At 53.6% G+C, this 27,620-nt stretch overlaps 2 protein-coding genes across 14 annotated transcripts in view, besides 6 other annotated features; one reads left to right on the forward strand and one right to left on the reverse strand.

The window, feature by feature from the left end:
• OTOF (otoferlin) overlaps positions 1–5,250 on the reverse strand; it is a 101,554-nt gene extending 96,304 nt beyond the window's left edge. For both annotated transcript variants that reach the window (NM_001287489.2, NM_194248.3), the window contains exon 1: positions 4,987–5,250. In NM_001287489.2, the coding sequence (NP_001274418.1) occupies positions 4,987–5,065 (79 nt within the window). In that variant the 5' untranslated portion in view covers positions 5,066–5,250. The remainder of the gene's footprint in view (positions 1–4,986) is intronic.
• Positions 4,611–5,404: an enhancer, noted in NCBI's record as "H3K4me1 hESC enhancer chr2:26780985-26781778 (GRCh37/hg19 assembly coordinates)". NCBI's record gives its function as "activates a minimal SCP1, AML or CMV promoter by ChIP-STARR-seq in naive H9 embryonic stem cells {active_cell/tissue: H9 hESC(naive)}" and the evidence as "EXISTENCE:reporter gene assay evidence [ECO:0000049][PMID:30033119]".
• Positions 5,405–6,197: an enhancer, noted in NCBI's record as "H3K4me1 hESC enhancer chr2:26781779-26782571 (GRCh37/hg19 assembly coordinates)". NCBI's record gives its function as "activates a minimal SCP1, AML or CMV promoter by ChIP-STARR-seq in naive H9 embryonic stem cells {active_cell/tissue: H9 hESC(naive)}" and the evidence as "EXISTENCE:reporter gene assay evidence [ECO:0000049][PMID:30033119]".
• Positions 8,855–9,355: an enhancer, noted in NCBI's record as "H3K4me1 hESC enhancer chr2:26785229-26785729 (GRCh37/hg19 assembly coordinates)". NCBI's record gives its function as "activates a minimal SCP1, AML or CMV promoter by ChIP-STARR-seq in primed H9 embryonic stem cells {active_cell/tissue: H9 hESC(primed)}" and the evidence as "EXISTENCE:reporter gene assay evidence [ECO:0000049][PMID:30033119]".
• Positions 8,953–9,092: a silencer, noted in NCBI's record as "silent region_11275". NCBI's record gives its function as "represses an Ori minimal core promoter by ATAC-STARR-seq in GM12878 lymphoblastoid cells {active_cell/tissue: GM12878}" and the evidence as "EXISTENCE:reporter gene assay evidence [ECO:0000049][PMID:35858748]".
• CIMIP2C (ciliary microtubule inner protein 2C) lies at positions 9,081–26,018 on the forward strand. Of its 12 annotated transcripts, none has more exons than XM_017003962.2 (7): positions 9,081–9,180; positions 18,610–18,645; positions 20,536–20,598; positions 22,396–22,669; positions 24,010–24,122; positions 25,271–25,347; positions 25,788–26,018. In XM_017003962.2, exons 2-7 carry the CDS (start codon positions 18,610–18,612, stop codon positions 25,930–25,932), a joined length of 708 nt encoding a protein of 235 aa, XP_016859451.1. In that variant the 5' UTR covers positions 9,081–9,180; the 3' UTR covers positions 25,933–26,018. The 12 variants fall into 12 exon arrangements, 11 of the variants coding, with proteins under 11 accessions (XP_016859451.1, XP_016859455.1, XP_016859454.1 ...); XM_017003966.2 differs by lacking the exon at positions 18,610–18,645 and adding an exon at positions 21,106–21,285; XM_017003965.2 differs by lacking the exon at positions 25,271–25,347.
• Positions 12,602–13,107: an enhancer, noted in NCBI's record as "H3K4me1 hESC enhancer chr2:26788976-26789481 (GRCh37/hg19 assembly coordinates)". NCBI's record gives its function as "activates a minimal SCP1, AML or CMV promoter by ChIP-STARR-seq in naive H9 embryonic stem cells {active_cell/tissue: H9 hESC(naive)}" and the evidence as "EXISTENCE:reporter gene assay evidence [ECO:0000049][PMID:30033119]".
• Positions 22,752–23,326: an enhancer, noted in NCBI's record as "H3K4me1 hESC enhancer chr2:26799126-26799700 (GRCh37/hg19 assembly coordinates)". NCBI's record gives its function as "activates a minimal SCP1, AML or CMV promoter by ChIP-STARR-seq in naive H9 embryonic stem cells {active_cell/tissue: H9 hESC(naive)}" and the evidence as "EXISTENCE:reporter gene assay evidence [ECO:0000049][PMID:30033119]".
• Positions 26,019–27,620: the final 1,602 nt, after the last annotated feature.

Raw genomic sequence — 27,620 nt, forward strand, 5'->3', positions numbered from 1 at the left:
CTCCTGTATGCTGCACTCATTTCACCTCTGTGTGTATGTTTCTTCTCCTCTGTCAGATGGTGAGATCCTGCCCCACGTGTGGTCGCAGTAAGGCTCGGAAAGAGGCATGAGCCACCACGCCTGGCCCTTTCATGGCCTTTGATCCTGCCAATGAACTAAGACCCTTCGGTGGCTTCTTAAATACCGCCCATTTCCCCTGCTCAATAAAAACTCCCGCCTCCCTTCTGAGCTCCGGGGGCCAACTCAGAGCCTGCTCCCACCTCCTTTCCCGTCTGCCCTTTCTCCTTCCTCTGTCTTCCCCTAACTGACTCTGGCTTACACACGCAATCCCTCTTGCTTCCCACCTATGGGCTGGAGCTGAACTTGCTAATATTTGTTAGGCTTGACTGGGCGCAGTGGCTCACACCTGTAATCCCAGCACTTTGGGAGGCCGAGGCAGGCGGATCATGAGGTCAGGAGTTTGAGACCAGCCTGGGAAATATGGTGAAACACCGTCTCTACTAAAAATACAAAAATTAGTCGGGCATGGTGGCGTGTGCCTGTAGTCCCAGCTACTCCAGAGGCTGAGGCAGAAGAATCGCTTGAACCCAGGAGCTGGAGGTTGCAGTGAGCCGAGATCGCACTGCACTGCACTCCAGCCTGGCGACAGAGCGAGACTCAAAAAAAAAAAAAAAAAAAAAAATCGTTAGGCCCCTCTGGAGCCCTAGAAGATTCTCTGGGTTAGGGAAGTTGATGGAAGGAGTAAGAGCCAAGGTTCTTGGTTCTTGGCCCTTGAGGCCTCTTCCAGTCCCTTGATCCTCCTTGGATAGAAAGTTCTGGGGTGAGAGCTCACAGTTGGGGAAATGGAGCCAAAGAGTGACAGTGCCACAGTGGAAGAACTCAAACCCATGACACAGTGAATCCCTCAAAGACAGAAACCATGTCTGATGTCTGTCCTGAAGATGCTCAAAAGCTTGGGCAGCATGCAGAGGTGTGGCCAGTTTCTGAAATGCAATGTACCTTGGCAGAGCAGTAGGAAGAATGTGTGCAAAGTACTGCTAGAGGAGTACTTTGTGTGCAAAGTACTACTCCTTCATGGAGGAGGTAGCATATGAGCTGGGCCTTGAAGGATGAGCAGAATTAATGGGCGTTCTCAAGGTGGAGGGTGGTCATTCCAGGCAGAAGAAATATGATCGATGTCTCAAAGTTTGGAGGTGTAAAAGGGTGTGGTATCTTTTGGGAATGGCTGGAAGTTGAATGTAGTGGGAACATAGCAGGGTGGGAATCAGGGGGAGGGTGGGAAGAAGAGTAAGAATGAAAAGGTGGAGGGGGATGCCCTGCAAACCTTTGTGCCAATTTCCAGCCACAGTGAATTATGTGGAAGCCAGATCCAGCCTTTAGATGTTCTTATCTCACACAGAAAATCCCCAAACCTCATGTCTTGGCAAGAAGGCTCAGGGGATAGAAAGAGAAGGGAGACATCAGGGTTGGCCCTGGACTGTCTGTCACTTGGTTCCCTTACAGTCCAGGTCCCCCAGCCTTGGTGCTCAGCACTGGACAGAAGGTTGGACTAGAAGAACTTCGGGACCCTTCACACCCTGCGTTCTGTGGCTCTGTGATTGATGTAGGGAACTATCTCAGGAGTTGATAAAGGAAATACCTGAAGCTAATACTTCCTCTCTTTGAGTAGCAACCTGTGGTCAAGATGGCTCCTTCTTAGATAGCCCACTCTTGATTACTCCTGGGAACTGCAGGCCTCTGAGCTAAATGAGGACCACTGTCTCCATTTTGTTAATGAGAAACCCAGCTGAGCCCTGTGGCCTGCAGGCACAATAGAGATTCGCCCAGGACTCCCTATCTCCTGTCTGACCCAATGGGATTGTGACTCCTGGAGGGCCAGGCTGGCCCCTTCACCTCAGGGTCCCAGGCCTGTGCACAAATATTAGCATGTTCAGGAAATGCATGAACAGGGCAGCACCAGCTTAGGAGCAGCCAGGGGCAGTAAGAACTAAGAGCTAGATACAGAACTGGCTGGGAGCACTGACCGAGGGGCCGACTGGCCTGAGGGCAGTGGGAAAAGAGGTGGCCACGGGCAAAGCTGGTGCACACCCAGCCAGATGAGAACAGGAGTCTCGGGGGTCTGCCTGCCTGGGTTCCTGCGGAACATCTCAGCAGAGGCTCCTACAGAGCAGAGTCCAGGCTCTCTGCCTTCTCCTGGCAGACTGGAACCCCTTAGACGTGCTCTCCTCTTCCCTTTATATCTCACATGGGGCCCTCTGCTGGTCTGGAGAGAAGATACCTCAGGGGCCAGCAGCTGCTCCCAAGGAGAATGGGAATGGCTGCCTCACAAACACATCGACCATTTGAATACTCTTCCCACAAACTCTTCCATACCTATGGTTTCCCTGAAGCAATCTAGTGAAGTGAGTGTTATTATCATGCCCATTTTACAGATGAGGAAACTGAGGGTGAGTGGCAGAACCCAGGTAGGATCTAGGGCTTCTGACTCCATATCCAGAACTTTTTCCACAATAGCCCAGGAGGGCTCTTTCCTTAGTGTCTTGGATGGCACAGCACAGAAGGTCAAGCCATATTTCAACCAGCTGCTCTGGCCTACCTAGGGCCACTGCCAATGGGCACAGCTCACCAAGGGCTCCCTCACCACCTCCCCCGGCATTGACTTTCACTCAAAAGCCTTGGGGAGCCTGGGGCCAGTGTCTCCCTCTGCGTGTTTACCAGTTTCTTGTTTCCCCCTGCAGAGGACTTGCTTGGCCCCCAGTGGTTGCATGTGCTGGGAGATGCTAAGGAACATTGTAGAGCGGGTCCATTCCCTCTGAATTGTGGTCAGTGTTGGTCTTTTGGGGCGCCTACAACTGTGAACTGCTAGATGACACAGGTGAGCGGCTGAGGCATCTTTCGTTGTAATAAAGGTACTTTCTGGAAACTGCTTGTCATCTGCCTATTCCTGCTGCCCAGCCCCCTTCCCCAGGAGCTCTGCCCATGGCCACCTCCTGCCAATGTGGAGCTTGGAAGCGATTTCTCCACTCAGTCCAGAGAGCAAGGGTTGCAAATAAACTAATTCCTGTGTGGTCAGTGAGGCTAAAGGCCCAGCCCTTCACTGCTCCAAGGAGAAGATGGGTGTCAGACAAGGTGCTGGCCCCCAGGTGGCCCAGGAGCAGATAAAGAGCTTGCAAGATTGAGTACTCAGGATGAGGTCCTGAGAGCTGGGACCACCGTGCCTCAGCTCCTCCGTGAATGCCACGCGCAGTGTTCTACCCCTGAACCTTGGTTTCTCGGCCTGCAAGTGGGCCTGTCCGGTGCAGCCTGGACCGTTCCAGCACAGCTGCAGCAGGATGGCAACCTGTAGCTTAACCGCCCCACACTATGCTGCCCGTGGAGCTCAGGGCCACATTTCACAGATGAAAGGACACATTTGCTTTTTCTAAAGCCAGCATGAGCCTGCAGGTGGCACACAGAGGGAGATCCAGGGTGCTGCAGAGAAAGCAGTCAGTGGGTTGGGGTGGGAGGCAAAAGGCAGCCCAGCCCACACCTCCCTCTCCCTCCTGCCTAACCTCCGCCTGCCGGCAGGGCCACTGCCATCACCTCCACCCCTGCCTGTCCCTATGAACACAAGCTGCAATGTGGGCATCCCAGGGCCTCTGGGTAGGTGATGTGGGTGCCCCAGGGCTCTTGCTGGAATGTTCTGCCAATGGTCTCTCCCATCCCTTCCAACAGAGGTGCAGACACTGTGTCCAGCCTGGGCCCCAAGGCTCACTTTGCTCTTTAGTATAGGGGGGTCCTCTCTGCCCCCTTCTCACCACCTCGTCCCCATCCCACTCTCAGACCCCTCTCTCGGGAGAAGGGGCCATGTCTAGTGAGAAGTACCCCCAACCCTCAGGGCTGGGCAGCAACCACATGGAGAGGCAGAGGTGGGTGGTGAAGGACAGAGTCAGCCTGGCCCTGCCTTTCCCCACTTAAAATGCTCAGGGGCTCCGCTGTCCCCGGGGTCAGGTCCAGCCTCGCCTCCTTGCCCTGCTTGGCTCTCTGGCCTCCGCTCCTGCACCCTCTCTGAGCTGTAGACACATGGAACCTCTTTCAGTTCCAGAGTTTCAGCTCCTCTCTCAGCTCTGGGCACACTGTTTCCTCTGCCTCCTCAGTCCTTACCTCCTCTCCTAGCTCCCACCCGCTGGTCCTTCGGGTATTAGCTGAGTGTTACTTCCTCCGGGAAGCCTTCCCTGACCACCGGTCACCAGCCTGGGTGAGGGTGCTGCTTCTGTAGCTTGCATGCTGCACCCCCACCTTCTGTCTCACATACCTGTCCTGCTTGTTCCACGCCTGCCCAACAGATGCAGGCTCCTTGGGGCTGGGGCTGGGTTGTGCTCAGCTCTGTGTTTCTACCCCTATCCTTGGGACACAGTAGATCATAATAAATGGTCGCTGAATACAGGAGTGAAAAGGATGAGAAAAGACCAGACAGAAGAGAGGCGAGGGGCTCCCGGGGTTCCCGCCCATGAATAGATCTAAAAGAAGCCAACAGTGTCCCCCATCACTCTGGGGCCCAGGGAGCTACTGGCTGCCTGGTTTCTCCCAGTCACCCTGGGTGCCCCAGGCTCCATACCCGGCCCCCACCCTGTGCTCAAGGAAATCAACCTGCAGGAGAGGGAGAGAGAGAGAAGGAGGGGGTCCTGGGTCTCCCTGAGCTCAGGGATGTGGTCCTCACTTCTGCCTCCCCAGGCAGAGGGCTCTGTGCCCTGCCCGGGGAACTGGCATGTTGGCAAGCACAAGGAGACACAGGCATGGAAGAACAGGGGACCCTGATTTTCCAGAAATCACAATGGCCAGTCAGTCCCAGGCAGATGACTACCTGTGAAAAGGCTCGTCGCCCCAGCCCCTGCTAGAACTTTTCCCACCCATCCTCCCAGCCCTGTCCTATCCCCGGCCACCTCCAGAGCATGGGCTGGTCCAGCTCTCAGAGCTGGCGTCCCTCTGAGACAGCGGCTTCCCTACCTCGGAAAGTCACTTTGGCGATCCGGTCGCCCCTGCCCCGCAGCTCCGAGACTGTCTTGAGGTGGATGAGCAAGGCCATGCTGGTGTGGGCTGCCTGGCACTGCCAGGCAGGAGCAGCGGGAAGGAGCTAGCCGGTGGAGCACGGCTCACACGCCTCTCTCTTCTCTGCCGCTGCCTCCTCCTCCTCCTCCCGACCCCCCTCCGATGCTGCCCACAGAGACCAAGGCAACCAAGCCGAGCTAAGCTGCTCCTGCAGCGACTCACAGAGCCTCACAGCCCCCGCCCCTCCAAGTTGTCAGCCCAGCGTGTGTGTATCGGTGTGTGCGTGTGTGTGTGTGTGTGTGTGCACCCAATGTGCAGCCTGGGAGTGCGGCAGAGTTGGAATTCATTATTCAGCAGCCGCCGGCTCCCAGATAAAGCTCTGTCCAGCTTCAGGTGTCTTCTCCCAGCTCCTGGAAGGGAGGCTCTGCCCACCCCTCTGCAGGGCTCTGCTGCTTCCCTGCTAAGCAAGCCCTGCCACCAGTAGTGGGCACAGAGGAGTGGGCATGAGCATAGGTAGGGTGGATGTGGGGCGGGGGGCACTCCCACCCACAGGGGCACACTACAAGAAGAAGGGAATGTATTTGTCCACCTACGCCCACCTCTTCCCTGCTGGAGACTGTGCCCCCAAGAGGCTGGGCCCTGAGCCCTGCCCTGGGATCCCTGTTTCTGAATCTCAGGAAGCAGAGAGGCTGGGGCTGCTGCCTGAGGGGAGGCTCAGGACCAGGCCATGCATGATGGAGATGGCTGGTTGTGGAGGCAGCAGAGGCTTATGTGCTACCAGGGGCCATGTTTAAGGATCCAGGGCACTAACCTAGCCCCACCCCAAGGCTGGGGGTCAGGCAGGCTAGCGAAGGTAAGCCAGGCTGATGTTTGCTTTCCAGCCAGAGGAGCAGAATTGAATGGCCTTCTGCTGTTATAAGCTGCTAGGGGCAGGAGAAGGGATGTCTATAGGGAAATTTCTAAGGACCAAAAGAGAACTGCCCCCTCCTGTCTTCCAGCAGCATACACCAAGGAAAGGGACGCTGGGGGCCAGAATCCCTGATGCTGGAATCTGTGCAGGGTCATCTGCAGCCTTGTTCTTGCTATTCATTCTTGGTGGAATGCCCTCCACCCCACCCTGGACTCAGCTTGAGTGCCTGCTCCTGGAGGTGCCTCTGTACCCGCACCCCAGCTGGGTTGGGGTCCTCCTCTGTGCTGCTCCTGCCTCCTCTCATCTTACTGAGTCCTGGGGCTGCTTCCCTTGCCTTTTCCCCTCCTGACCTCAGGAGGGCCCTGGAGCACAGCATCCCTCTACCCCAGAGCCCCACATGGTATCCTGTGCACCGTAGGATGCCCAATTACTGTTGAAAGGATAAAAGAGTGAGCTCAGGGATCTACCTGAAACAGAGTCTAAAGGTTAAAAAGAGAAATACTAATTTTTCACAGCATGGTAACAAGAGGTTACTTCTTTTGAATTCTGCATTCCAAATAACCTACAGTATGTCCCAAGAGCCTTCTTTCCTCCTTCTAGATATTTCCTTGCTACTGTGCCCTATTTTTCTTTTTCTACTTACGTTTTTTTCCTTTGCACTTTTTCCTAACCAATTCTTGCTTACCTTTCTCACATTTATCTAATCATATTGAATTTAAAAATGTCTTAGAGTATTCTGTTTATTGAATACAAGTATGAATGCTAAATTTTCAAAAGCTAGATAAGTTTAATGTCTTAAAAAAAAAAACACCTAAATTCACTAGCATTTTCCATCCATGAGGTCATCAGGTGATCTGTGTTTTTAAGGCTTGGTGACTACAAGGTACAACAACAACAACAGAAAATATCTTCTTCCTTGGTTCTCTGGAGGTCCTCCCCTGAAAGGAGTGAATTTCATGAGGCCTCTTATAGACCCTGTGCATCTTTAGGAAAAAGCCCATGATCCTGCCCTAGCCAAGGCATTGATCTATGCTGAATCTCACTTTCCACATCCATAAAATGGTAGCAATTCCACTCAGCAGCTCTCAATGGAGTCAGCTGGCCTTTCTGAAAACCTAAGAGACAGATCCCACTCTTTTTTTTTTTTTTTTTTTGAGAGAGAGTCTCACTCTGTCACCCAGGCTGGAGGGCAGTGGAGTGATCTAGGCTCACTGCAACCTCTGCCTCCCGGGTTCAAGCGATTCTCCTGCCTCAGCCTCCCAAATAGGTCAGACTATAAGCATGTGCTACCATGCCCAGCTAATGTTTGTATTTTTAGTAGAGATGGGGTTTCACCATGTTGGCTAGGCTGGTCTCAAACTGCTGACCTCAAGTGATCCGCCTGCCTCGGCCTTCCAAAATGCTGGGATTACAGGCATGAGCCACCGTTCCCAGCCAGAACCCACTTTTTAATTTCCATTCTTCTGTTACCCATTTTGGTAACTGAGTATATAATTTATGTAATGAACATTTACTGAATTCTTTCCAGAGCCAGGTGCTGAGATTCAGGGATGAATATGATATGGATGGCACAGGATCCCAATCAGACGAGACAGATGGACTAGAACACAGGCAGGTGGAAGGCAGGGTGGTGGGTTTACCAGCAGGACTGGCTGGGCAGCCCTGAATGGGGGAGGAAGTAGGCGGTCAACCTCACCAGGGCTGGGGGTCTTTGACTCATGTTTTCCTTATTGTAGAACATGTTCCCCAATGAGAATTTAGAAAAATACAGACATGACTGCATTCTGAAGGATGGATGGATTTTCCTTCCACCCAGTTTGTTTGCAGCCGTTCCTTTGCCTACAGCTCTCTTTCCAACCAGGCCTCAGTGTTTCTGCTTCCTGAGCCTCTGGGAAGCCTGTGGCTCCCCTTCATTTCATTGGCATTTGCCAGGGGAAGTCTTTGGAGAATGCTGGTGGCAGCCACATTCTGTGAACCCAGTAGCGTCTGCGGTCTTCATCCACTGCCATTTACAGAACCGAAGTGCGAGGGGAGCACTGCTCTCCATCCGGCATCTGAAGGGAAGAAGCAAGACCTGGAGACAAAGTGGGAACTGCCAGGCTTCTTCATGACACCAGGACTGCTGCAGAGGGAGCTGGGGTGGCAGGGCCTCCACCCGAGTCACCAAGAGCCTGGCACCGTGGAAGCTGTCCCCATACCCTCACCCCTTATGGAAAAGCCGAAGGCCCTGTGCCTGCCCTAGGCACCAAGGCTGGTGTAAGGGTCCCTGGAGAAACTCAAATGTGGAGGCTGAAGCAGTCACAGGGAGGATTACACAGGGGGTGGGCCTTCAGCAGGCCTGCTCTCTGGGGCAAGCGCTACCCCTGCGGATGCCATCCCCAAAATGAACGGCAGCATTGGGGACAAATGTAAATCACACACCCAGACGTTCTATGATTTTCTTTTTGCCTCTTGTGGAGTAGTTTACAGGTATGATGAGGTGAGAAGGAAGCCATCAGCTAGAGATTAAGAAGAAAAATGAAAAATGCTCCTCTTCGCAAGGCGCGCACACACACACGCACACATGCACGCACGCACGCACACACACAATTACACACAGCGTCCTAGGCAACCTCGCCCAGCGCGGCCCACTACAGAGCCCCTTCCTGGAACTCCCATGGAGCTGGGGTGCAGGGGAAGCCTTGGAGAGACATAGCTCCTGGGGACCCTAAGGCCACTCAGGTTTCTGGGCCTGAGCCACGGTGGGGCAGCTGCTTCGTGCGTGACCTCCAAAGTCAGGACCTGGCCTGTCCTTTGTGGTAGCGTCGCGTTCCAAGCCGGGTCACCGCAAGACGGATCCCGCCAGGCCTCTCCAGCGATGTTCTGCCTCCCTCCCGCATCTGAGCCTCTGCACATCCCGCAGGCAGCAAGGCAGAGAGCCCCGACGCGCCGGGGCAAGTGACAGGGGTCACCCAGCAGAGCTCGCGGAAATGGGAGGCGCCTTCTGGGCGCGCCCTATGGGGCTGCTCCGGGAGGTGGCCGCCAGGGGGGCGCAGTGTCTCGGAACGCGAGGACCGCGGGGCCAGCTGGCGTTGCCAGGCTCGCCGCCGTGGCCGTTGCCAGGTGACCCGCCGCTGTTTACCGTGGGGCGGAGCGGAGCGCCAGGCTCGCTGTACTCGCGCACCCACCATGGCCTCCCGCAGCGCGGGCACCCTACTGACCGAGTTCAATGCCGCCTACGTGCCCCCTGGACTCATGCCCGGGTAAGGCCGAGGGAGCGCCTCCTCCCCTCCCCCTTCCACTAGCGCCCTCCTCGGTGATCGAAATTCAGCCCCCTGCCCCCGGACTTTGGGGTTGAAGGAACCCCGAGGAGCCAATTTTCCACCCGACGGGGCGAGGGGCCTTCCTAGAGGTTTGTGGTTTCAGAGTAGGAAGTGGGCAGGCACGGGCGGGGGCCTCCCCAGATTCCCCTTCACAGGAAGGCGCTCCCTGGCAAGTGGGGCACAGCCAGCAGGGCATAAGGGACCTCGCATGGATGTAGCCGGGGAAGGGGGAGGAGATGGAGCCACGTGGGGTTTAGTGCTTGGAGACGCCCCAGGCGGGCAGCCTCCAGCGCTTAGAGAAAATGCGAGAAAATCAGGCCCTTCCGTCCGGCGCACAGGGCCAGCACCCAGCATTCGGGCAAGGTCAGTACTTGTTGGTTGAAGGAGGGAAGGATACCGGGTGGGTGCCCGCTCGAAGAACCTGGCAAGGCCGGAAGAGCCGTAGTTAATGGGTCATGTGTGCAGTACCCGCCCGACTTTGCGGTCGGTCCTTTCACAGACCTCCCTTTATCCTCCCAGAAGTTTTTCTTGGAAAGCTTCCTGGCCACTTGCCCTGAGCGCTGGCTTGCTGTTTAGCACTTTCAAATACTAGGTTACACCTACCTTTCTTTACTCTGGATATTTTCAGACTCCAACCATCTAACATGCAAGTCTGGCTGTTGCCTCCTGTTCTTTGGCTCTTTCTCCTACAGTGTCTGATGTTTCTACTCTGGACCGCCTCTCCCAGGGTGTAAGGCTGTCTTTATCCCTCCTACCAGTCAGCATAGGTACTGAGAACAGGCACTGGATTCTGAGAGGCAACCTGTACAGTATCAGCAAATCTGTATAGAATGAATGAATGATCCTAAGAACCCTTGTCTGAAAAAAAGAGTGAACGAATGAATGAAATGAATGTCTTGAGGATTCTGCAGGCAGAGTCTCCAAATGGGTGAAAAAGCCCGCATGCTCTCCCCTGCAATCGGAACAGATGGCAACATGAAGAAAAGTGTATTTGGTATGAAGTTGAGATTGTTTTGAAGCAGAATAAGCTAGACACAGAGGTGCTGTGACATTCAAATCATTTCTGGAGGCTGCATGAGAAAGTAGCAACCAGGGGCTGGTGCTGTAGTTTTAACCTAGCCCATTTGTGGATGCGACCTCTCTCTGGGCCTTGGAGGGAGCTCAAAAGCTACCAGGGTTCCCATCAGACAAAGCTGATTTACCAGGTCATGGTAGTTTCCCGAAGCCAAGCCAGGTGACTTAGGATTTGCCCGTTTTCCTTTATTTAAGACATTCATGTGGGTCAGTGCTTGGGACATGCCAGGTGTTATGTTAGGAGGCTGGGAAGACAAAGACAAACAAGTGAGGGGCTGCCCTAGTGTGGTGTAAACACATAAGGTTTAGTTCAAATCCATTTTTGCAGCCTTGGATTGTGGTGCTGACACCACATTCTGGGTGTTCATCATGAGATTTGATTTTATACATTGACTTTTTTTCTTAAGCCTCCCACAGTCTCCAGTTGGAAAATTTTCTATTGTCTGACTCCTGGACATTTCCCATCTGAGGGGCAAGGCCTGGTGCTCCTGCAAACCCTGCCCCACAGTTCCCCAACTCTGTTTGGCAGGGGTGGGAGCTGCAGGTTTCAGAAGCAGTCCCCAGGGTGCTTTCCTATTCCTGCCACTTCTCAGCAGTTCCCTTGAGCGCCCTGTCCTGTGATTGATTTAGAAATGGCAATAAGAGGATCATGAATGAGGCTTCAAGCCTGGACTGGGCTAGTTTGAGCAGCTGAGCCCGTATCTGCTGCTTTCTCATCTAGATCTTTCTGGAAGGGTTGTGTTCCCCTTAAAGATTCCCATCAGCAAGGGATGAATTGAGTCATTTTGTGTTTCCAAATGCTACCTCGTTGGCAATTCTGTTAACTTAATGAAAGAACCCAAGATTCCCGACCACACTTGGATAATTCTTATTTTTGTGTGTCTGTTCAAACACTAATCACAGGATTTTAAAGCACAGCCAGTCTCTTCTGACACTCACATCACCCTGCTCTTACCTGCTTTATTCATAGAGGCGAGAATATTCATGCTGGTGTGGACCTCAGAGATCATGTAGCCCTGTCCCCTCCTGTTCCAGATGTGGTCACTGAGGTGTGGGGGGACTTGCCTGAGCCCCACGCTGGTGATTGAAGTGCTGGGCTGGAGCCAGGTCCCTAATGCCTGGCAATAACACCATGATCTCCTAAGTCTGAGCTCCAACTATGTACCAGGCACTGTGCTGGGCCCTTCACAACATTTTCTTCTTCTTCTTCTTCTCCTTCTCCTTCTCCTTCTCCTTCTTCTTCCCCTTCCCCTTCCCCTTCCCCTTCCCCTACCCCTTCTTCTTTTTTTAATGGAGTCTTGCTCTGTTGCCCAGGCTGGAGTGCAATGGCGCAATCTCGGCTCACAGCAACCTCTGCCTCCTGGGTTCAAGCAATTCTCCCTACCTCAGCCTCCTGAGTAGCTGGGATTACAGGCACGCGCCACCACAGCCGGCTAATTTTTGTATTTTTAGTACAGGCGGGGTTTTGCCATGTTGGCCAGGCTGGTCTCGAACTCCTGACCTCAGATGATCAACCCGCCTTGGCCTCCCAAAGTGCTGGGATTACAGGCATGAGCCACCACGCCTGGCCTTTTTTCTTTTTTAAAATCATCACAATAACCCAGATGAGGAATGAGCAGCTTGCCCAAAGTCATTCAGCAAGTTGCCGAGCCTCGGCTTTGTGACTTCAACGCCCCAACTCACCCCAATATCTCCCCAACCGTCATGTGGTGTTTCACACTGCCTCCCTCATTTAGCAGGGAGGGAATGGGGTCGACAGTAAGAGATGGACTCTGGAGCAAGCCTGCCTGGTACGAATCCTGGCTCCATGACTTCCTTACCCTGGGCAGGTTACTTATCCCCCCTGCCTCACCTACCTTATCTGTTCAATGGGGATGATCACGGTGTGCAGGTTAAAGAGGTTTCAGTTAGTTAACATGCGTAAAGCCTGGCACTTGATCATTGTTAGCTGTTATCATTAGTTAGATCTCTACTGTGTTCAAGATCTGGTTCTAGGAACCCCGGGGAACATGAAATAATAACAAAGCTGGTCTTCAGCCTCGCCGGCCAGGGTGCTCCATTTGGTTCCATGCTGTTCCTGGGGACACAGCTCCTAGGCACCTTGCCACAGGCAGTGCCTGCCTACGCCTGGCCTGGGTGCTATTCCTGCAGTGGGCAGGAGCTCTTGGGTCAGAGCCCCTGAGATTTGAAGGGGTTTGAAGGGATGAGATTGGCCTCAGTGAGGATCCAAGCTTCCTGCTTGCAAGTCGGATCTGGGTGGCATCCACTCCTCATTCTCTGTTTCTGGCCATGCCTCACCGGCTCTCAGTGCAGACACTTGGCCTGCGCCATGCATTCATTCATGCCCAGACTGCCACTGCGCCCCATGCCCACAGCTCCTGCCCAGCGGCTCTCACCAAGAGTGAGGGCAGGAGGATTTGCCTCCCAGCCCCTCTCTCTGTCTGCCTGGGGTGGCAGTTGTGCCCACATCTGTCACTGAGCTGGACCTCGGAGACTTCAGGGGCCTCTGGTCCTAAAATCAGTGCGTTCCACTCCATTGTCAGGAGAGTGGTCCCACAAAGGTGGCTGTGTCCCCATCCCCAGAATCCCTGTACAGCAAACACACACACGGTGGTGTACTGACAAATGTTTAACAACCAGTTCTCTGGAGCAAAAATGCTTTGATTTGTAACATTCATCCGTATCTGTGGTATAAATACTCTCACCAAAGCTGATTTCAAACTATCAACATAGTGTCCTTAATTGCAGAGTTGGGGAGGGATGGATGCACAGCTGTGCACCATTATATAACATTTCCACCCCACAGATAGAGTGGACATGACAACCTCAAACACAGACGATAGTAACGTGGCAAAATAATTAGGAAGTGAGGAGTTTTGACTGTCTCCTTTGGTTTTAGTGTGTTTTTCTTTCCTTTGAGACAGAGTCTTACTCTGTCACCCAGGCTTGAGTGCAGTGGCACGATCACAGCTCACTATAGCCTTAACCTCCTGGGCTCAAGTGATCCTCCCACCTCAGCCCCCTGAGTAGCTGGGACCACAGGTGTGCACCACCATACCTGGCTAATTTTTATATTTTTTGTAGAGACAGGGCTGCCCAGGCTGGTCTTGAACTCTTGGGCTCAAGCCATTTGCCTGCCTCAGCCTCCCAAAGTGCTGGGATTATAGAAGCCAACATGCCTGGCCTAATATAACATATTTAATTGTAATGGAATATAATTTGATATTGAATACTGGCTTGTTTAATAATAGACTTAACAATTTCCTGAAAATTTAGAAGTTGATTCCTTTGAAGCCAGTAGGCACTGCCTGTAGCCCACTACTGCCTGCCCCTGTGATATGGTTTGGCTGTGTCCCCACCCAAATCTCATCTTGAATTGTAGTTTCCATAATCCCCACATGTCACAAGAGGGACCAGGTGGAGATAATTGAATCATGGGGGCAGTTCCCCCATCCTGTTCTCATGAGAGTTAGTTCTCACAAGATCAGATGGTTTTATAAGGGGCTCCCCATTTGTTGGGCACCCATTTTTCTCTCCTGCCGCCATGAGAACAAGGACATGTTTGCTTCACTTTCTGCCATCACTGTAAGTTTCCTGAGACTTCCCCAACCCTGCAGAACTATTAGTCAATTAAACCTCTTTCCTTTATAAATTACCCAGTTTGGGGCAGTTCTTCTTAGCAGCGTGGGAACAGAGTAATACACTCTGCCAGCTTCCTGGGGCCTGGGGCTTTACCCTTCAGGGAGAGAGGTCAGGCCAGGCTTGGGAAGGGAGGGTTCCAAAGCATTTGCATTTCCAAAGCCCCTTCCACTTCAACCCAGGCCCTGGCACCCGAGGTGCAGCCCTCCAAACAGGCCAGTGCATCTTGGGGTATGAAACAAAGGCCATCTGCCCAGGAGGAGGTAGGGGACCCTTTGTGCCCATTCGTTAGTATTAGAATCTCCTGGGGAGCTTTAACTATGACCTGTGTTCGGGCCCCATCTAGAGATTCTGATGTCATTGGTTGGGCTGGGCCAGGGCTGCAGGAGTTTCTAATCCTCCCAGGCAATTCTAAGATGTAACCAGGGACAGGAATGCTTGTCTGAGAATTTCTATGGCCCCTTGCATTGCAGACCACTGTTGAGAAACTGGCAGGTGTGGTCCTGTTTTCAAGCATTTGAAAGAAGGGACCTCCTCGTGTGAAGCCTTCTACCTGTGCCATTCTCCTTGGCACACCCCCGCCCCCAGGCTGAGAGGTCTGACTGAAGGCACAGCAGGCACTACTTTCGTTGTTCGGTTCTCATCTCCAGCTGAGGGAAAAGATCATTGTCCCAGATTCAAGCCCAAAATACAGAAGCAGAAAGTAAATTCTACAGTCCCTCAATTCTTCTCCCTCTTGGCCCTGTCCCCACAGGGAGCTTCCTTCTCTATCCCCCCAGGAGGCAGCCTGGTCTCAGAGGGCCTCACACACTTAGGGAGCCTCTGGCCACTCACCTGCCTTTCTCTGCTGCAGTATCTTCTCTTCTGGAGGATTCATAAGCCACGTCATTCCCCACCCCTTTCCCAGGACCTCTGCCCCAAGGCCAGCCCCTATCTCTTCCCTGGAATTCACCTCTGAGCTGTTCAAGTACATTTCATAGGTAACTGGTGCCTCTCTACCTTGAGGAACTGTGGAGCCCCCTAAGAACAGGTGATCAGGGGCTCCTGGAGACTTGGGCTTTGCAACAGGGATCCTCCTTCTCTCCAGAAGAAAGGGCAACCCTTTAAAATGTGCCACCATTTGTCAATTCCATTCAACAGATATTCACAGAACATCCACTGGGTGCAGAGAATGCCAAGCATGCCAGTATGAGTACAACAGAACCCTACTTCCCCAGAGAGCCTATGATTAATAAGAAAGAATATTCCAGTGGCTCAGATTATTGTGATATGAAAGAATGTGAACTGAGGCCAGGTGCGGTGGCTCACACCTGCACTTTGGGAGGCCGGGGCAGGTGGATTACCTGAGGTCAGGAGTTTGAGACCAGTCTGGCCAATATGGCAAAACCCCGTCTCTACTAAATGTACAAAAATTAGCTGGGCATAGTGGCGGGCACCTGTAATCCCAGCTACTTGGGAGGCTGAGGCAGGAGAATCGCTTGAACCCGGGAGATGGAGGTTGCAGTGAGGACCATGCCATTGCACTCCAGCCTGGGTGACAGAGTGAGACTCAGTCTCAAAAAAAAAAAAAAAGAAAAGAAAAAGAAAAACAATATGAACTGAGACATAGGAGAGGTGCAAAGGGCAAAGACAGTTCCATGGAGCGGGCAGGCAGGGTCTGTGGGCTGGGTCATGGAGGCTCCATGGGAAAGAGGGCATTCAAGATGGGCCTCAAAGGATGGGTAAGATCACAATGTGGGAAGTGCGGAGAGCAGAGCCTTCTGGATGGAGGATGTGGCTTGAGACAAAAAAAATGGTGTGGAGTTGCCAGAAGGATGTTCTTTCAAAGCAGCAAATAGCCTCTTCAGCTGGAATGGGAAAACTGTGATGACAGTGGATGATGCGGCTGGAAAGCATTCTCACAGAGGCCCTGGCGCGGAGGGACTGACACCTGGCCCCGCTTGTGCTTGGTGTCACAGGCAATAGGGAGCCCTTGAAGGGTTTTGCCCTGGGGAGGAATGTGATCAGAACTGTCCTCAGTAGGAGGCGTTATGGAGGAGAGGATGCATTGTGGAATGTGGACATGCCGAATAGTCGCTGGTTAATCAGTTAATAAGGTTGATCATGGGATCTCTGATGGCTCATGGTAATTAGTTTTAATGTTGGCTGTGGGGCCAAGCAGTGCTATTAAGAGTCAGGGAAGGGACTGCTCCTTTTCACACAGTAACCCACAGTGGGCCTTAGAATCCACATGTGACCATTGCCCAGGGGTCCGGCTTGGCACAGTCTCCTGGCTTATGTGGTGTACAGATGGATGGAGGGACAGGGTGGTGGATGGGAGCAGATGAAGGGGTTGAAGGGGAGGTGTGGTGGCACCAGCCAACACAGCAAATGCTGCCACTCGATGCCCTGTTATAAAACTTGCCATTCCCCTCTGTTCCTCCCTACCTTGGCCTGCCACGTATCAACACAAACAGGACTGCAGAAGGCTCCACCGTGGAGCTCAGGGCATGCTCAAAGGAACACAAATGCAGGTGCATATAAGGGACACAGACCTAGCTTGCCAAGATGCGCCCACTGAGTGCTAAAGAATGTGAACCTGCCCATGTGTGCAAGTGTGTGAGTGCACACACACCTGCCTGAGCAGTAAGCCCTGAACAGAAGCCAGGCAGAACTCAGGAGGATTGCGGAGGAGAGGGCTTCTATTCTATTGGGATGCAAATATCGTGGCATTCAGAGAAGGTGGAGAAGCAGGGAGCAGAGGAGGAGTATGGCAGAGAGCTTGGGGGCGGAGAGAAGAATCACGAGAACACATCATTTTTCTATGGCTCCTTTCTTCGGAGGAGCCCATCGCCCCTGTAGGCGGGATGCTTCATGCCAGCATGTGCTCTGCTGATCAGAGCCACGCTCCTCTTAAATCAGGACTCCAGGGCATGGTGCCCCCAGAGTTTCTGGAATTCTGCCTCCTCCAGTGAACATTTGTTGAGCACTTGTCATGTGCCAGGTGCCAAGGATAAAGGAGAACACGGATTAGCAGAAGAAGAGACAAGTTCATTCGGGTCTGAGTGTGGACTTGAGGATGATAGTCCTCTCAGTGAGGCAGGTGCTAGGTACAGGGTGTGCAGTCAGGGGAGGTAGCAGAGGGCACTGGATCCTTAGGAGTGGGTGGCAGATCCCCAGATGGGCAACAGGGAAAATGCATCCCAGGGAAAGGAATTCCATGCAAAGGCCCAGAGGCCTGAAGAGCAAGTGGGGCCCCAGAGACTGGGAGTAACGCTGCTGGGGCCCAGGGCACCTACAGTGCAGTGATGGGCGAGAGGAGGGATGGCTCTGGTGCTGTATGGACAGCAGGCTGGAGGGGGTGATGCTCCATTTAGACCAGGGAGGAGATTGGAGATTGTCCAGGCAAGCAATGAGGGAGGCTCGCAGCAGTGGGATGGAGGAGGGCCACAGGCCAGTGGCTAAGGAGGGGCCTAAGCAGGACTTAGGGAGAGGTCAGATGTGGAGGGTGATGGAGGGTGATGGAGAAGCCATCAAGTCCCAGTTTCTGGCTTAGGTGGAGGTTGGAGGGGGCAGGGATATACTGGAGGAAGAGCAGTTTCAGTGGCGCTGAGTCTGTGGCGTGGTGGCCCAGCCTTGTGTGGATCCATTGCCAGGCATGTGGATCCATTGCCAGAATGGTGGAGGCTGGAGACCCAGAGGTAGAGAGGCTGTCATTGACATACGGGACATGTTGGAAGTCTAACACAGATGAGATCTCCCAGAAGGAATGGGTCCCTGAAAAGAGAAGAGGACCCTGGGGCAACACCATCGCCTGGGGAAGGAGCCAGACCCAGGGGCTCCCCCTGCCCTGGGACTTTCCTCAAAGCCTCACCCCAGTGGACACTTGTCATGGAGCTCCTCCAGTACCCACCCTGGGAATGGCCTTCCCTCCTTGTGGTTGATAGCACTAGAACCTTGACCATGGTCCCACTTGGGTTGGAGCTGGTTGTACCCAGGCCAGCTCAGCATGGCGCCTGACACATGCACCCCATGACTCAGTAAACACCGAGTGAGGATTGGGCTTGGGGAAGGCAGGCTGAGCACCGTGGGTCTTTGTGTTCCCAGCACTTAGTATGGTGCCAGCACACAGCAGGTTCCTGATAAATTAATGTTTCATGCCATCTGACTCTGTTTTTAAAAAATGATGTGTGTACAAAGAAGAAAGCCACAAATCACCCGAAATCCAAACACCCTGAATTATCCAGGGTCAACGTTTGGTGCATTTTATTCAGAGTTTCTCTTTATGTGTATATTCAGACGAGATCGGGCGCGCTCAGGGTGGTATGGCTGTAGACCTTATGTGTATATTCAGATAAAGGACTAGATGGAGGAGTGAATGGACGGATGGATGGATGGATATAAAGACAGACAAAAGCAACTTTATAAAAATATAATCATACCATATTTGCTATTTTAAAATGAAAAGCATGAAATTGAATCTTAATAGAACTTAACTGAAGAGAAAGAAACTGAAGTAAAATGGAAGAATAAGTAGATTTGAGATAAGTGTTAATTCATCACAAGAGATATTAGTACAAAAAGATCCCACTATAGGAGAGAGAGAGAGGATAAAAACCATCAAAGGACTAAAGCCATTATGTTGTACTTTTTTCTAACGATGTGTTTCAATTTTAGATGCCATGGGTTGACTCTGATTTAAAGAGATTCTTAGTAAGTGCACCCCCATCTCCCCTCCACCCACCCCCCAATTTTGGTTGCTTAAATTAGTTTTACTTTGACAGGTTTTATAACATTTACATTCCATTCTGTAACTAGCATTCACCTAGTTGCTATTCCTGGTTCTGCACTTCAATAGATTTGAAGCTCACCACCACTCATTCTAACAGAGGCTCTACATTACTGAGTTGGTTTTTTTTTTTTTTTCTCTTGAATCATCTCTTGATTGGCAGGATTTTGTCGCTGAACATGACTTTCAAGAAGAGCTTGTGGGTGCTTTAGTTGCTGAGCCCTTTCATGCTAGGAAAGGGTGGCTTTGTACCCCTGTGACCGCCTGGCTGGTGTGGTATTCTTGGGTTATGCTCTTTTCCCTGCGGAATGCTGTGGGTATCTTCCTTTGCCTTTCATTCTATCACTTCATCTTTTTGCTGGGGTTGGCAGCACCTGGAGATGAGCATCTCTTCCATTCCCTACATTCTGAACCACTTGAGAAAGAAGGTGAAAGAGGAATGTGGCTGTTAGAGAATGGGGTGAACACAGCCTCAGAATGAGACAGGCGCTGGGGCCGGCCTCCTCCCCACGGGCAGAGCCTGTCCATCTAACACCTAAGGCTTGGAGGGGCGGAGCAGGCTTCCTTGCTTCCGAGGAGGAGAAGGAGGGAGGGGAGAGGTGGGCCACAGGCTGCCCGATGGTTCCAGTGTGGGAGGAACCTCCCCTCCACGTGGGAGGAGCCCTCAGGATAGAGGAGGCAGCATCTCCCCATCACTTGTCTTTGACATCTTAATTTATTGAATCTATATCTTGATTAAGCTTCATCTACAGCACGAAGTGCTCTCAGGAACTTGCTTACACGTCACAGGTTAGGTTTTTTCCCAAACAAGTTTCTTCATCAGTGCGAATGTTGCAGCGGGACAGTGTGAGCCGAGGACATTGGATTTGGCAACAGCAGGACCTGATATGACCTTAATTTAGATGTAGAGGTTCACGTTTCAATGGTGGGTCTGAAGGCAGACTGAGGGAGGTCAAGGAAAGGGTGAGAGTTGAGAAATCAGGCAGAAGATGCAGCGTATTCCTTAGTGAGCTCCAGAAGGAGGGAGGGAATCTGCAATCCCGCCTTCCTCTTCGCCATCTTTAATGTCTCCTCTCTTGGCTGCTTCCCCTCTGCCTATAAACGGGCACCAGCCTTTACTGTGGAAATGTACAATCTAGGAACCACGGCTCATGCCCACTTACAGGCAGAGGGGAAGAGGCCGAGAGGGAGGGGGATATTAAAGATGACGGAAGAAGGGCAGAGGCTGAGAGAGACAGGGAGGAGTCGGATGGGACAATGAGGCCTTGGGTGAAACCAGAGCAGGAGCTCCAGACCCAGGAGTGGCGCCCAGGCCGGGAGGAAGACTCTGTCTCCTGAAGCGGCCAAGGTGACCACACAGCCTCACAGGAGAGAGAGCAAGGCACCCACCAATTCCTCCGTCTTCCCAGTTCCAGAGGAGACCTGGCCTCCGCGGGGAACTCAGGGGGCCAAGGAGGAAGGGCACTGAGGTGGTGGAGAAGAGTCAGGACCGCCAGGGTCACGGTGTCAAGGGCGGCGCCTCTGTGGCATCCAGGGATGTGAGTAGTGAGGCTGGAGGGGGTGCCTGTGCAGCTGGGGTGGAGCCTCTCCCCTCTGCAGCCTCATTGCAGCTCTGGCCCAGCCAATGCCAGATGCTGTGAGACCCCAGGAAGGCACAACTGTTGAGGGTGGTGGGACCAGGAGCCAGGGCAGGACTCACTTTGTGTGAGCTTCCCTACAGTGAGCAGTCCTGTCAGCAGTCACTCGGCTTCGCTTCCTTGCCTTTTTCCTGAAGACAGAAAAGAAGGAAACCATGCATTGCTATCTAATTCCAGGCAGCGCCCGTTCTGTTGGTGAGGAGACCGAGGCCCAAGGCACAGGGAAAGACCCCAGAAGAGGTGAGAGTAGGGGACGGAGTTACATCTAGATGGCTGCGATGACTCTGCAGGACTGGGATGTAGAGGAGGTGATGGGGCTGGAGAGCTGGGCCCGGGTCAGATCACAGATGGCCTCGAATGCCACGCCGAGGATCTGACTCTGGACTAAAGTTCAGTCTGCTGGAGAAGGGATTGCAGGGGCAGGGGTCTGGTGCAGTTAGAACAGTGAGGTTGTTATGACCACAGGCCAGGTACAAGGGCACATGGCTGGGCTCAGGTGGTGCAGATGGAGCTACAGGACTTGGTGACTGACTAGATGTGGGTGAGGTGGATGCCTCAGTTTCTGACTTGGATGGCTAGGGGGAAATTTTCACAGAGATGGGACCAGACTGTCAGGGAAGGTGGGGGTGGGAGATCAAGCCTGGGAGACATCCAAGGGATATGTCTGGTGTGCAATTGTACATAGCAGCCTAAGGCTTGGAGAGAACTCCCAGGCGGGAGCTGTGGACTGGGTTCATCTGCACACAGGAGGTGGCTACGGCCATGGCATGGCTGCCATCACCCAAGACAGACCCCGGAGGTTCACCAGTGTTTAAGAGGCGGGCAGAGGAGAAGGCTCATGAAGGTGTGGTCAGAGATGTTGGCAAAAGCAACAGAAAGGAGCAAAGGTGTCATCCAAACCAACAGCAGCGTTTCAGGAAGGGAGAGGTGGGTGATGCCCTGTGCTACTGGAAGGCCCAGCAAGACAGAGCATGTCCACCGACCTGCAGCAGCAAGAGCACAGGCGGCCTTGGGAAGAGCGATTTCAAGGGCCTCATGGAGCAGAAGTCAGACCCCAGAGAGTGAGGCATGCATGGGGGCACAGGGCCGTGCTGCTCGGCAAGCTTCCGCATTGGCCGCGAGTCTGGCGCCTGTACTCTCTGGGTGTTGTTGACTCTCCCTTGCTTTGTTAAAACAAGTCTTTAGCTCTTGGAGCGAGTCTCATTTAACCAAGGATCTCTAGAGTGCCTGTGTCACCAAGGCCTCCGCTCGCCCATCTCCTGTCCCTCTCCTGGAACCTCCTTGGTCACAGAGGGTGGAAGACTCCTTGTAGGCTCTCAGAGCTCCAGAACCTTAGTCAGCTCTCCAGGCTGTCTGAGTAGCGTGTTGGGAGGCTGCTGTGCTGGGAGCAAGGCTGCGGCGTCCTGAACCTACGCCTTGCTACACCACATCTCCCACCCATCGCTGTTCACTGACCGGGCCCCCCACCCACTTCTCATACTCCCCCTACTCTTTCATGAGATAACTGCAGAATGTGGGAGCCAGAGGAGGCCTTTGCATCTTCAGGCCAACGCCTGAGTAAATGCGGGCCCCTGGAGGGACAGTGATTTGCCTACAGCATTGACTGGGGGGGTATCTGGTGTTCTGGCCCCTGTGTAAGCCCCTGGTCTGGAGAGAGGAGCATCTAGGCAAAGACCTCTGTGGGGAGGGAGAGGCCCAGAGCCCCTTGGACTTGGCCATCCCCAAAGACCTGAGCAGGTCAGTGCACCTGGGGAAGCCTCTTAGGGCCAAAGATGGCCACCGGGCTCCCCTGACTCTGCCCTTCATCTTTTTTTTTCTTAATTGTTATTATGTTTTTATGTAGAGACAGAGTCTCACTGTGTTGCCCAGGCTGGTCTCAGAACTCCTGGGCTCAGGTGTTCTTCCCTCCTCAGCTTTCCAACATGCTGGGATTACAGGCATGAGCCACAGCATCCTCCACTTTTAAGGGCCTCTCTTGGAACAGGCCTGGGGCCCTTCACTGATCTGTGGCTCCACCACCCCCACCGTGATCGGCAGGTACCAGGGCCACGTCCCCACTGTGGCCTTCTCCTTTGGCGCTCCCTACGGCACCACCACCCTCAAGTACTTCCAGGACCACCGCAACAGAGCCATGGAGAAGAGCCACACTCCCTTCAGCCAAGGCGGCCATTTCCCCACCATCTTCTCCACCAACCCCAACCTCCTGCTGATGGAGCGCGCCAGCACCCGGGACCGCTGGCTGCACAAGCCCAGCTACACTCGCTTCAACCTGGACAGCCATCGCTCCACAGAGCTTACGAATTTCTACCAGGTAAGCTGTGTGGGGCTGCCCTGTGGCCTCCCCTCCTGCCCACCTGCCCCCACCACGGGAAGGGAGTGATGGCCAGGGGCCAGGGGGAGACCTCGCACCTGCCACAGTGTCTTGATTTCCTTTCTCAGAGCCCCTGAGCCAGCAGAGAGCATGGTGGGCTTGGCTAAAGGGAGTAAGGAGGCTCAGGACTTTGCCCCTCTGATCTCTCCCCACCTCCCGGGGCTTCAGGACCCCCAACTCCTGCTCACTCCCACTGCCAGTGGAGCTAGGGGTCTCTAGGGACCTGTCTCTAGGCTCCTGCCCTTACCTTCTGCCCCCTGGAGTCTCTTGGATCTGTGGAATGCCATATATTTTGTAGGTGAGTATAAGGTCTAAGATCCACCCACCAGATGAATAACACACGAGCAAAGGCCCCACTACAGCCCCCAGCCCCAGTTCCAGCCCCACGGCATTTATCCACCTGTGTCCTGGAGCCTGCTCACCCCTCCCTGCCCTGCAGCCCCCTGGGGGCATGCTCTGAGTCACTCTCAGCCCCAGCCTGGGCGAGACTGCCCTGCAGGGAGTGAGCTCGAGGAAGGGGACCCACCCACACCCCTGTTGTTCTTGTCCTGCTGTTCAGGCTGGTAAAGCCTCCCTGGATGTGGTTCAGACACATCCCCAGAGACCACAGGTGCATGGGCCTGAGCTGGCCCTTATGCCCTTGGCAGGGATAAGGGTTCATTCTCTCCTGTGTTCCCAAAACCTTACTCTCTCCATCACCTTCTCTCACAAGCCTCCCCCTCTAGCCTGATTGCAAGGACAAGGTGTGTCCTGGCCCCAGGGCAGAGAACTTGTATGAGTAAAGCAGCTTCCTCGGGAGAGGAGGAGGTTGATGCCACCAGCCTCTGAGCCATGTGCGACCATCTCAGGGGGTCTGCCAAAGCCTCTCCCTCCATCTTGGCGCTCAACAGAACATGCCCCGTACAGTGGGGAAGGAGAGGGGGGAGGAAACACAGGCCAGGCGGACATGGTGCCTGTGTGCACAGCAGGTGTGCGTACGCCTGCGGGGCTGGGTTTTTGTACTCAGTCTGAGCTTGTCCCTTGTCTTGTTTACTCTCCATAGCAAAGCTGGTCTGGTGGGTGTCGTTATTCCCATTAGGCAGATGAGAAGTCGTGACTCAGTGAGGACACCCAGCTGGTTGGCAATTGAGTTGGGGCCCCAGCAACTCCGGGACTCCTCCGGGGGCATTAGGGGAGGTGGCCCCCAACCCTGCCCAGGTGCAGCGAGGCATGGACTGCAGGTGCCTGTGGTCAGTCCTGTGCACTAACAACCTGTCATCTCTTCCTTGATTGAACCATAGATGGTCCAGCAGCATCGGAAGTACTATCAAGACAAGACGGGCACAGTGCCTCGAGTCCCCTACTTTGCGATGCCCGTGAGGGAGCCGGAACGGTACCCCCTCCCCACCGTCCTGTGAGTGCCTGCCCTCCCTTCATCTACGCAGTCAAGAAACGCACCCATGGGGCACCTGCTCTCGGCCAGGCATGCACAGCACACAGACTGAGAAATGAGTTGAGGATCTTGCCCTAAAACGTGCAGTGCAGAGAGTGATGGTTACAGAGCAAGGGGGTCAGGGCATTGGCAGCCTCAGGGGGGATGGTGGTAGCCTGAATGGGCGAATCAGGAAGAGTGCTTTCCCGGCCAGATGCACTGGGAGTTTGGGAGAAGCTCCGTAAGCTTAGTGGGCCTGAATCTGCGGACTGATGCCCCGCCTGCAAAGGCAGCCTGGCAGCTACACTAGTCCTAACGTGGGCGCCGATGCAGAGCGCAGTAAGGAGCTGCTGCCCTCTGGTGGATACAGAGGGCACTACACCGAGCAGGAATCTCCCCCGGTCCCGTTCACATTTGGAAAATGTTCTCCTAAGGACTTTCTGTCCATCTAACTAAATAGGAAAGTTCCTTGCCTCCTGCCCCTCTCTGCTTTTATCTAGGAGAGCTCCTTTCTCCAGGGAAGGCCCACTCTGCCCTGAAAGATGACTTGGGTACTGTGGTTTCTGTGCTCTCTCCTTCCTGAAGCGCAGGCAGGGGGATCATTGGCTCACACGAGGTGTCCTGGAGTGGGGTAGGGTGGTGGGTGGTGCCTGGCCTGGGAGGTCAGTGGATAGAGCTTGGGATTTAGCTCCATGCCAACCACTCCCGGCTTGCCTCAGAGTCCTAAGATTCACCATCATCCTTACTGATAAAACAGCATCTGTTTTCATAAGTTTAATGGTTTTTAAAGAAACAGGCTTCACTGCATCTAAAAGTTCCTTTTTGCAAGTCAGACAGGATCATTTTACAAAAAAGGGAACGTGAGGCTCATTGATCGCCTGGGGAACTTGTGCTGCGTGGCCTGGATGGTTGGAGGCAGAGCTTGGAAAGGAAGCAGCATCTCCCATCACCACCTCTAGGACTCGGGGGCTCTCTCTAATCTTGGAATGGCTCTGAGCCAGTCCATCCCTAGAGTATAGTGGGACTCTCCTGGGGACAGGTATCCTCTTGAGATGGCTCTGGCCAGGATCTGCCCCCCATCCCCATCACTGTGGGGAGAGCGGGACATCTCAACTCTGTTCCTTCTTCAGGTTGCCTGGCCACTTGCACTGCTGCTGACAGTTTCACAACGAACGCAAAGGGCCAACCAGGTGGTTGGGAGAAGAGGGTCAGTGACAGGCCTGGGGCAAGCCCCTCCCTCCCGGAATCCCCTCCATCAGCACCATCACCATTTCTTAGAACATTTGTTGTGTGTTTACTCCTTGTCCAGAGCTTCACATGCATTACTGCATTTATTCCTCAAGTCAAAGCTAAGAGGGGGATACCACCACTGGGCCATTCTTAAATATGCACACTTCTAGCAGGAGTTAGGACCAGAGTCCGTCCCAGGTCTGTCTGACATCTGTGTCCTCACTCTTAACCACTGTGCCATTATGTAAATACAGGTTATTCCCACCCCAAGTCCAGGGGGACTTATCAGGTGTTAAACTGACGAGTAGCCGGCAGGTCAGCTTGAGCTGGAAAGTGGGCACGTGGGGCTGTGGGTGGGCACGCACCACCTTCCTTCCCTGGCACACTGCATAACACCAGTCCCATCCTCACCCCTAGGCCTCCTCTGTGCCCAAAGAAGAAGTGGCACCTTTTAAGACTAGCCCCCGAGAACCTGAAGACCTACCAGACCTTCCCATCAGGGAAGAGGGTCTCTCCACAGGAGCGGAAAAAGAGAGACTGCTACTTTGAGTTCAGAGCATGAGACTTTTAGTTCAGAGCAGAGCCTGATGCCTGAGATCCTGGGTCGTGACCAGCCTGGCTTGCTTGGAATAAAATCTTTAGCCATGACCATGCTACCCATCTCTCCTCTGGATCCCAGGGACACTCGGCCACAGCAGGAAATGCCCCCTGAAGGTCACACAGCATTGTGTCCTGAGGGCCTGCGGAAAGCTCTGTCCCAGGGACTCAAGCCAAGGAAAAGTGGTGTCCGGCTACCTGGCAGGTCCAGCTACCTTCTCCCCAAGGTGGGGCAAATGGAGTTGAGGAATGTAGGGTTCCCTAGTCTTAGTGGCAGGTCACTCAGGTACAGAGACCTCCCACCAGATTCCACTGGTATAAGCAAGGAAGTCCAATTGCGCCGGTCTAAGAATGAAGGGGAAATGACCCCAGAATAATTGCACTGGGTGTGATTGGAAAGGAATTTTCATCAGAGCCCTGACTTGGCGTCGTTTTGTCCACACGATCACTTGTGAGGGAAGAGGTGTTATTATCCCCACTTTACTGATAAAGATATTGAGGCTCAGAGAAGGTGAGAAAGTTGCCCAAGCTTACATAGTTGGGAAGTAACACAGCCAGAATTTGAATTCAGGTCTTTCTGACTCCCAAGCCCTGGTTTTTCCACGACACAGCCTGCTTGTGGTCCATGTGGAGACTGAGGGGCGGGGAAGACATAAACCTGGGGATCCTGAAGGAGTCTGTGGAGGGCGGAGCCTGGGAGAAGAAGCTGTGTGCAGCAGGCACCTTCTGCATTCTGCCTAGGCTGGCTTGGTAGGGTGGATGCAGCATCTACCCCTGAAGCTGTTTCTAGAAGACGATGGGAGGGAATGACCTAGGACCAGACAACTCTTCCAGGAATCCCTATGTTTCGGGGCCCCAGGCCGGAAGTGGATGCTGGGCATGGGTGCTGAAGCCACATGCCTGGGGTGGTCTTTGAGGGTCTGGAGGGTCTGCTCCCACAAGGCTGCTGCTTCCTACCTCCCAGGAGGCTCCTGCCTGCTGGGGCAGGGGTGGGACGGGGGTGAGAGCCCCTCAGTGACAGGATCTGGGATGGGGACCTTAGACCAAGGCGGGGACCTTCTCCAACATTCCAGCACCTCTTAGATTTGATCAAGGGCCCTCCATTAAGGGACAAGGCCCTTATTGTCCTTCAATGGGTGAATCAGGACCTAACTGCAAGGGGAACACAGCCCGGTTCAAGTACACCTGGGGCTGAAGCAGCCCCTCCTCTGTAGCCAGCGATTAGACACCTCCCCCAGGACAGTGTAAATAAGAAAAACCCAATGGGGGGCTTCTTCTGTGTCTCAAAGTCCCTGAGGAGCTGGACCCCAAAGGCTGTCTGTGGTGGCCAAATTCATTCCAGGGCTTGGCTGAATAGCAAAGCAAATAAACTCTAATTGCTGGTCCCACAATCAGGGCCAAGATGCCTTCTCCCTCAGAAGGGGAGTGGGGAGCCGGGCACCGGCTGGAATGGCTGCTATGTGCACGTCTCTGTGCAGCTGTGAACTGTGAGGTGCTGGGGGTCGGGGGTTTTGATGAAGGGAGGGAAGGACATGTATCTTGCTAGGGACCTTCATCCCATTTGGCTTGGCCCCCTGCTATGACATGGGTTGAGATTTGAACTATTCCCTCAGAAAGATTGCCACCCCAGCCTGCTTGACATCGCTGGCACAC

The sequence above is a fragment of the Homo sapiens genome, chromosome 2 (genome assembly GCF_000001405.40).
Source record: "Homo sapiens chromosome 2, GRCh38.p14 Primary Assembly".
Classification (NCBI taxonomy): Eukaryota; Metazoa; Chordata; class Mammalia; order Primates; family Hominidae; genus Homo; species Homo sapiens.